This window comes from Homo sapiens, chromosome 19 (genome assembly GCF_000001405.40).
Source record: "Homo sapiens chromosome 19, GRCh38.p14 Primary Assembly".
NCBI classification, from domain to species: Eukaryota; Metazoa; Chordata; class Mammalia; order Primates; family Hominidae; genus Homo; species Homo sapiens.
In genome coordinates, this window is record NC_000019.10 from 35,019,094 (window position 1) to 35,027,511 (window position 8,418).

Consider the following 8,418-nt stretch of genomic DNA (forward strand, 5'->3'; position numbering starts at 1 on the left):
AGGTCCCCAGAGAGACCTCCCAGAAGGCTGAGTCTCCTGTGGCCTGTGGGCAAAGGACTGGGGTGTGGCCTCCTCATGCTGCTCCTCCCTCCTCTAGACGTGACGCTGAGCCCCTGGAGTGGGGACAGCAAGTGCCACCAGCGCCGGGTGCTGACGTACACCATCCCCATCAGCAACCCACTGGGCCCCAAGAGCGCCTCCGTGGTGGAGACACAGGTGGGCCAGGTGGGGCAGCCGAGTGGGTGGGGCAGCTGGGTGAGTGGGGTGGCCCTGACTTCTCCGGCTCTGTCCCTGCAGACGCTGTTCCGGCGCGGCCCCCAGGCCGGCGGGTGTGTGGTGGACTCCGAGGTGCTGACGCAGGGCATCCCCTACCAGGACTACTTCTACACTGCCCACCGCTACTGCATCCTGGGTCTGGCCCGGAACAAGGCGCGGCTCCGGTGAGTGGTGGCTGGGCCCCTCCACCCGATGCCCTGGTGGCCCCAGGGCCTCCTGTCCACTCCTCAAGTCAGCAGCAGAGCCTTGGTTCCCACCCTGGTGGAGGAACAGAAGCGTGGGGTTCCTGAGGCCCTTGTCCTCCGAATAGTGGAGGGTAGAGGAAGAGTGGCCCTGGGATGGCTCCTCCCATCTACAGAGGGTGTTTGAGCCTCAAGACTCTGAGGATACAGCAAAGCCAGGCAATATCACCTCTCTCAGGGAGCTCATATTCTAGTGGGGAATTGGACAATAGAGAAATGATCAGGAAAATCTGCAGAACATTCACTGGCAGTTAGGCCTATGGAGAAAAATGAGGAAAACACGGCAGGCTAAAGAAGCAGGGTGTGGAGGCTTTTACACCCGACACGCTGGTCAGGGAAGGGCCTACTGGGAAAGAAATGTTTCACCAAGAACCTGAAGGAGCTGAGAGCAACTCATTTGGGACAGCAGGTGCAAAGGCCCTGAGGCAGGGGTGTGGGCAATGGCTGGAGTGGAGTAAGATTGAGTGAGTAGGAGCTGAGATTAAAGTGGTGAACCGGGGCCCGGCACAGTGGCTCACACCTGTAATCCCAGCACTTTGGGAGGCTGAGGCAGGAGTATCACTTGAGCCCAGGAGTTCAAGAGTAGCCTGGGTAACGTACGGAAGCCCTGTCTCTACAAAAACAATTTTTTTTAAATTAGCCAGGGTCCAGGTGCAGTGGCTTACGCCTGTAATCCCAGCAATTTGGGAGGCTGAGGTGGGCGGATCACTTGAGGTCAGGGGTTCGAGACCAGCCTGGCCAACATGGTGAAACCCATCTCTACTAAAAATACAAAAATTAGTCGGGGGTAGTGATGCACGTCTGTAATCCCTACTACTTGGGAGGCTAAGGCACAAGAATCACTTGAACCTAGGAGGTGGAGGTTGCAGTGAGCCGAGATCGGGCCACTGCACTTCAGCCTGGGTGACAGAGTGAAACTCTGTCTCAAACAAACAAACAAACAAACAAAAAACAAGTTAAAAAATTAGCCAGACATGGTGGAGATTTCAGTGAGCCATGATCACACCGTTGCACTTCAGCCTGGGCGACAGAGCAAGACCCTGTCTCAAAAAAAAAAAAAAAAAAAAAAAGGTGAACCAGATGTGGCTCATGGTGAAGACTTGACTTTACCTGGAGTGAGGTGCAACCAGGCCAGGGCTCTGAGCCAGGAGGGCGCTGACCTGACTCAGGTGGTCCCAGGCTCCTTCTGGCTCCCTCTGTTCTGGTGGGAACAGACTGCAAAGACAGGTACAGGAGCAGGGAGGCCAGGGAGGAGGCTGCTGGGACATCCAGGCTGGAGGGGACGGAGGCTGAATCAGGGTGAGGAAATGGAGGGGGAAGAGTTTAGATTCTGGAGAGATTTTGCAGGTTTAGCTGACAGGATTTGCTGAGAGATTGGATGTGGCGGTGAGGGAAAGAGAGCTCAAGGAATATCCCGAGGCATTTGGCCCAAATCACTACAACTTCGGAGCTGCCCTTGACCCAGATGGGGGCGGCAGGGAGGAATGGGTTTGGGGAAAGACCAGGAGGTCAGTTTGGGACTCAGCTGTCTATGTTGAGCTGAGCCCATGTGGAGCTGGGGTGCAGCAGCCGAATGGAAGAGGTTCAGGGGCATGGTCTGGTTAAGACGTCAGTCTGTGAGTAGACAGGGCTCAGGCCGCCGGGAGCGTTGCCCAGGTAGTGGGCATGGGTGGAGAAGGACCGAGGGCTGAGTTGGCTGGCATTTGGGCTGGGCGGGTGGTGTATGGGGTATCCAGGGAAGCCATGGGGGGTAGGGAACCCATCTGTTTTGTCTGTGAGTGACAAGGGGCCCTCTCTGAATTAGGGGAAGGAAAAAACTCAGCTTGTGGGACGGGGCAGCCAGGGCTGGAGTCAGACCCTTACCTCCTTCCCCTGATCTCCCAACCCCAGAGTGTCTTCTGAGATCCGCTACCGAAAGCAGCCGTGGAGCCTGGTGAAGTCGCTCATTGAGAAGAACTCGTGGAGCGGCATTGAAGACTATTTCCACCATCTGGGTAGGGACAGAAGGCCGGCTGGGGCGTGGGTTGGGGGATGGCCTGGCCAGGTATGGACATCCAGAGCCCCCTCTCTTTTACGCAGAGCGAGAGCTCGCCAAGGCTGAGAAGCTGTCTCTGGAGGAAGGCGGGAAGGATGCCCGGGGCTTGCTATCCGGCCTGCGGCGGCGGAAGCGGCCCCTGAGCTGGCGGGCTCACGGGGACGGGCCCCAGCACCCAGATCCTGACCCCTGTGCCCGGGCCGGCATTCACACCTCGGGTACGTTCCGTTGGGGCCGGGTTGGGGTAGGCGGAGGATCGGGGGTCCTGGACTGGGCCATCTGACTCCAAGCTGCTCTCCTGCAGGCTCCCTCAGCTCCCGCTTCTCCGAACCATCTGTGGACCAGGGCCCCGGGGCAGGCATCCCCAGTGCCCTGGTTCTCATCAGCATTGTGTGAGTAAGAGACAGGAGCAGTGGCCACACAGGCCTGAACCTGCCTCCTGGCTGTGTGACCTTGGGCAAGTGTGTGGCCTCTTTGAGCTCTCTGCTTAAGTGGGAGCGTGGGTTTGCTCACAGCAAGGATTAGACAAGGCAATGTTTGGGATGTGCCGGTTTGTCATGGAGAAGCCTTCCCTGCTAGAACAGCAGAGCCGGGGGGGGCTATGGGAGATCAGAGGGGCCTGACCTCACCCAAGGATCAAGGGGGGCTTTCTGGAGGAGCAGGCACACAAAGATTCTGGAATTAGGTGCACAGGGAGAGGTGTGCCTAACAAGTGAGGTCATTTATGGACATTATGTTCTCTGTGCCCACTCCTAAGCTGGGCGATGCTGAGGACACCGCAGTGACCTTGAGGAAAAGATAGACCTCACACCAGACCAGAGTGATCCGGGCTGGGATGGGGGAGGTATGGGCAGAGGGGTTGGGGCTGGGAGTGGGGAAGCCCTGGGAGGCCAGCGGCGGCTTCCTCCCAGGCCAGAGGGGGCAGTCAGGATGGGCGTCCTGAGAGAGTGGAGACCGCGTAGGCTAAGGGCTTGGGCAGGGAGAACCCACACTCCTGCCCAGAAGCCTGCAGGAGTTGGCGGGCAGGACGCTGGGAGGAAACAGAAGCAGGATCCCGGGGTTGAGCAGACCCTGCGAGGTGAGGGTCAGGCCAGCTACATGCTCAGCCTCTGAGCCTCAGCTCTCAGCTCTCATCCAGTGAGGGGGCGTGGTGCTCTCAGCCAAGAGCTGCCCCGGGTGAGGAGGGCTGGGGGTGTCGGGGGCAGGCCAGGCGGCGCTCATCTCTCTGTCTCCCCTCACTGCTGCTGCTGCAGGATCTGTGTGAGGTAGGGTCCCGAGTCCTCCCCCTGCCCTCCCCTCCCTGCACCCCACCCCTGCTGCAGCCTCTTCTCCCCACCCCATGCCCCCCAGCTCCCCCAGGGAGGTGGCCTGGCATGGCAGTCAAGGGTATGGGCATCAGACAGACCTGGGTTTGAACACTGACTTCCCTGCTATGGACTGTGCAACCCTAGGCATGTCTCTCATCCTCTCTGAGCCTAATTCTCCTCCTCTGCAATGGGGGATAGAGGTGTCCCTACAAGATGTAGTTGTTTGGGGGTGTTCAGAGCATCTAGACCCCAGGAATCCTGACCTCTGACCCCTGTCCCCAGCCTTATCATCCTCATCGCCCTCAACGTCCTGCTCTTCTACCGCCTCTGGTCCCTGGAAAGGACAGCCCACACCTTTGAGTCCTGGCACAGCCTGGCCCTGGCCAAGGGGTGAGTGGGTAGCCTGGGGAAATGGGGGGGCTTGGGCACATCGGGGGAGGCCAAGGCCCTGCTCAGGCCTGGCATCCCCACAGCAAGTTCCCCCAGACGGCCACAGAGTGGGCCGAGATCCTGGCGCTGCAGAAGCAATTCCACAGCGTGGAGGTGCACAAGTGGAGGCAGATCCTGCGGGCCTCCGTGGAGCTCCTGGATGAGGTAGGAGGCGCCGCTCGGGCAGGGCTCGGGGCTGCGGGGCTGCAGGGTCCTGTGTTGAAACCCCACCGTGCGGCAGGCACTTCCCCTCTCCGGATCTCAGTGTCCTCCTCTGTAAAATGAGGAAGCCGCTCAGAGTCCCCACCCCACAGCATTGCAGGGGAAAGCATGGAAGCATGGATGGAAGACAGAACTGATTGGCTCACGTCCTGGAGAAAAGTCCAGAGGCGTCTCACATTAGGCACGGCCGGGTTTGGTCACTCAATGGCAGTAAGAGTCAGTCTCTCGTGCCCACTCTGCCCTGTGCCCATCTCCAGGGTTGGCTTCATTGGAGGCCACCCTTTTCCCCCCACAGGGGACCACGGAGCTTACTCTCATTGGCTGCTGGGGTCCCAGGCCTACCCCTGACACATCACAACAGCCAGGGCAGGCCACGTGTGGTCCCTCTACCCGCTACCCCACTCTGGGGTAACTAAGGGGTCACATGGTCTGAAGGGGAGAGACTCTCCAAAGGACCTGAGGTCTCATCTCCAAAACGGAGTGGACCCAGACACCCAGTGTAGTTCAGGGACAATGTCTACTCAGACAACCAGGTTCCAATTCCGGTGTGTGACCTCGTGCAAGTGATTTTGCCATGGTGGCCGTGGACTCCTCTGTGCACAGGATAATGACTGATGCTACCTCAAAGACTGTTGTGAGGATGAGACAAGTTGACATTGGGAGTGGTGCCAGGCCTGCAGGAAACACTGGATGTGGGCTGGCTGTCCTGAGTTTGAGCCTAGTGCCAGGGACAAAGCAGATGCCCAATAAATGTGATGTCATCACACGACAATTCCCTCAGGCCCCAGTAGACTCAGGCCAGCAGTTGCGGTGGGTCAGAGCAAGTGTCAGGCCAGCAGTTGCGGTGGGTCAGAGCAAGTGTCAGGCCAGCAGTTGTGGTGGGTCAGAGCAAGTGTTAGGCACTCGGGGAAGGTGTCGAGGGGGAAAGCGGATGGGAAACAGAGTCTGGCATTGCCTGCATTTCCAAGGCCATCAGAGCTGAAGTTGTGGGTGACGGTGAAAATCTTGTCTCATTGGACCCTTCCATATCAGAAGGCTCATCTTTAGGGGTCTCATTGCCCCCCGAAATCAAGCTTGGGAGAGGCTCACACTGGAAAGGGCGGGGCAGGATGGGGTGGGGAGGAGATGAAGGCTGAGGCCCCATCACTCATAGAGAGGGTAGGCAGGGCCCCCCATCCTGCGTTATTTTATTTTATTCTTTTGAGACAGGATCTCATTCTGTTGCCCAGGCTGGAGTGCAGTGGCACGATCATGGCTCATCGCTGCCTCGAACTCCTGACTCAAGTGATCCTCCTGCCTCAGCATCCTGAGTAGCTGGGACTATAGGCAGGCACCACCACACCTGGCCAATTTTAAAATTTTTTGTAGAGACCAGAGTCTCACCATGTTGCCCAGGCTGGTCTCAAACTCCTGGCCTCAGGCAATCCTCCCGCCTCGGCCTCCCAAAGTCCTGGGATTGCAGGTGTGATCCACCACGCCTGGCCCTGAGTTAAATTTTTATCATTTTCCTCTCTGTCAAACTGCTAAGGGTGCAGAGTTGACGTCACAGATTGGTGCTCACAGTAGATGTAGACTGAGCACTTACCTGCAGCTGGGCTGTTCTAGGTTTTAAGCATGACTGCTTTATCCCCACAGCCAGCCTTTGAGAAGATGCTCTTGTTATCCCAGTTTTTTTGAGACAGTCTCGATCTGTCACCCAGGCTGGCGTGCAGTGGTGCGACCTCTGCCTTCCAGGTTAAAGCGATTCTCGTGCCTCAGCTTCCCAGGTAGCTGGGATTACAGGCACCCGCCACCACGCCTGGCTAATTTTTGTATTTTTAGTAGAGACGGGCTTTCACCATGTTGGCCAGGCTGGTCTTGAACTCCTGACCTTAAGTGATCCACCGGTCTCAGCCTCCCAAAGTGCTGAGATTACACGCATGAGGCACTGTGCCCGGCCGTTATCCCGGTTTTATACATAGGTAGGCGATATGAGGCATCCAGAGGTTCGAGGAGCTCAGGAGCTTGCCCGAGGTCACAGAGTGGGTAATGGTGACAGCTAACATGTGCTGAGCACTTAGTGTACACCAGGTTCTCAGTGCTCTTCAGAACCCTGAAATAATCCTGTGGAGCAGATGTGTTATAGACCCGTATTTCAAATGAGGGGATTTTGGCTCAGGGTGGTTACGGGACTTGCCTGAGGTTAACTGAGGTAACAAGCAGCAGAGCCAGGATTTGAACCTAGGCCATCGGGGTCACAGGCACACACTAAGCCCCTTCCTCTGCTGCCTCTGAGAAGTTAAACTGGGTGCAGCATGGCTGTGCTCTTTTCACCAAGGGACCCTGGGGTGGGGCAGTATGGCCTCTAGACCGTCCTCAGTTTCTCAATGGCAAGGTGGGGGTGGGCGACATCACCCCCCAGCCTCCAGCGTTCACCCCCGACCCTGCTCACCTCCTCCCCGCAGATGAAGTTCTCGCTGGAGAAGCTGCACCAAGGCATCACAGTCTCAGACCCTCCCTTTGACACCCAGCCCCGGCCCGATGACAGCTTTTCCTGAGGACCCCGGCCACGCAGCTGTTCCCCCACATGGACAGATGGACACACAGAGCCTCGGCGGCCACTGCTGGCACGGTGTGAGCGCCAGGCATCTCCCACCCGCCCCTCCCGACGGCCCAACCAGGGGCTGTGCAGACGTGGGGACCACGGAACCGAGATGCACTTTAGACCAGGGAGCTGGCCCGGCCTCTGGCAGGCCCCCCACTAACTTATTTTGCCCGGCTGAGGTTGTGGGGGGCGCCTCCTGGGGTGCACGATTCCCTCAGCTCTGGGTTTAATGTATTATATTTATTTGGGGCCGACAGTGCCCCAATAAAGGGTCAGAAGTGGCTGTGGCTGTGCCTGTGGGGCCCTGGGAGTGGGTGGGAGCCTCCTGTTGCACTCAGATCCTGCCATGGTGGGGAGGGGACCTCTGTCTGTGTTCTGGGGCCATAGTCACTGAAACGATCTGGAATTCCCGCAGCATCTTACACAAGCTTTACATCATCTGAGGTCAACGCAGGAACTCCGGGGACAGACCGTGGTAGCTGGAGTTCAAATCCTGCTTCCTAGCAGTGGTGTAAATGCAGCAGGTCAGCCCCCTGGAGCTCCAGTGAGCTTTCCTGTGCAATGGGTAGAATGGCAGTAGCTGTCTCTCAGGGTTGTTAGAAGGCAGTGGTTCTCAAACTTGAGCTGCATTCGAATCTCCTGGAGAGCTTGATGAAAAACAGACTGTGGGCCCCTCCCTCCAAATTTCTGGTTCAGTAGGTCTGGGGCAGGGCTGGGATTCTGCCTTTATAACGAGTTCCCAGGAGTTGCTCATGGTGCCATCCCAGACGACACTTTGGTTTTTTGTTTGTTTGTTTTAAGTTAGGGTCTCTGTCGCCCAGGCTGGAGTGCAGTGGCACAAACATGGCTCACAGCAGCTTCGACCTCCTGTGCTCAAGCCATCCTCCCACCTCAGCCTTCTGAGTAGCTTGGACTACAGGTGTAAGCCACCACGCCCGGCTAATTTTTTATTTCTTTTTGGAGATGGGATCTCACTGTGTTGCCCAGGCCAGTCTTGAACTCCTGGCCTCAAGCGATCCTCCCGCCTCAGCTTCCCAAAGTGTTGAGATTTCAGGCGTGAGCCACCACGCCCAGCCCCAGACCACACTTTGAGAACCACTATTATAGGTTCAAGGAGTTCATAAATGTGGCTACTTATAACAGGGCCCGGCACAGATGGAATGGAGTAAGTATTCAATAAATGTTACACTTATTGCATAAAAATAGAGGGAAAAAAGTAACTCGCGTAGTGAGTACCAAGTACGTACGTACCCAGCTCTGTGCCAAGATCTGATGTTCATTTTATTCTCACAGTGATTCCATGAGGTGGAGACAAAGATGTAC

The 8,418-nt window shown here is 57.2% G+C and overlaps 1 protein-coding gene across 13 annotated transcripts in view; it reads left to right on the forward strand.

Moving 5' to 3' along the window:
• The window catches only part of GRAMD1A (GRAM domain containing 1A), a 31,743-nt gene extending 24,367 nt beyond the window's left edge, over nucleotides 1–7,376 (forward strand). For 7 of the 13 annotated variants that reach the window (XM_011527153.2, XM_047439133.1, NM_020895.5 and 4 more), the window contains 9 exons: nucleotides 98–216; nucleotides 298–440; nucleotides 2,409–2,512; nucleotides 2,598–2,771; nucleotides 2,858–2,945; nucleotides 3,807–3,818; nucleotides 4,143–4,250; nucleotides 4,334–4,454; nucleotides 6,956–7,376. In XM_011527153.2, the coding sequence (XP_011525455.1) occupies nucleotides 98–216; nucleotides 298–440; nucleotides 2,409–2,512; nucleotides 2,598–2,771; nucleotides 2,858–2,945; nucleotides 3,807–3,818; nucleotides 4,143–4,250; nucleotides 4,334–4,454; nucleotides 6,956–7,048 (962 nt within the window). In that variant the 3' untranslated portion in view covers nucleotides 7,049–7,376. Of the gene's footprint in view, nucleotides 1–97; nucleotides 217–297; nucleotides 441–2,408; nucleotides 2,513–2,597; nucleotides 2,772–2,857; nucleotides 2,946–3,806; nucleotides 3,819–4,142; nucleotides 4,251–4,333; nucleotides 4,455–4,603; nucleotides 4,693–6,955 lie in introns of all 13 variants that reach the window. The other 6 variants (NM_001320036.2, XM_017027035.2, NM_001320034.2 and 3 more) reach the window with 2 other exon arrangements.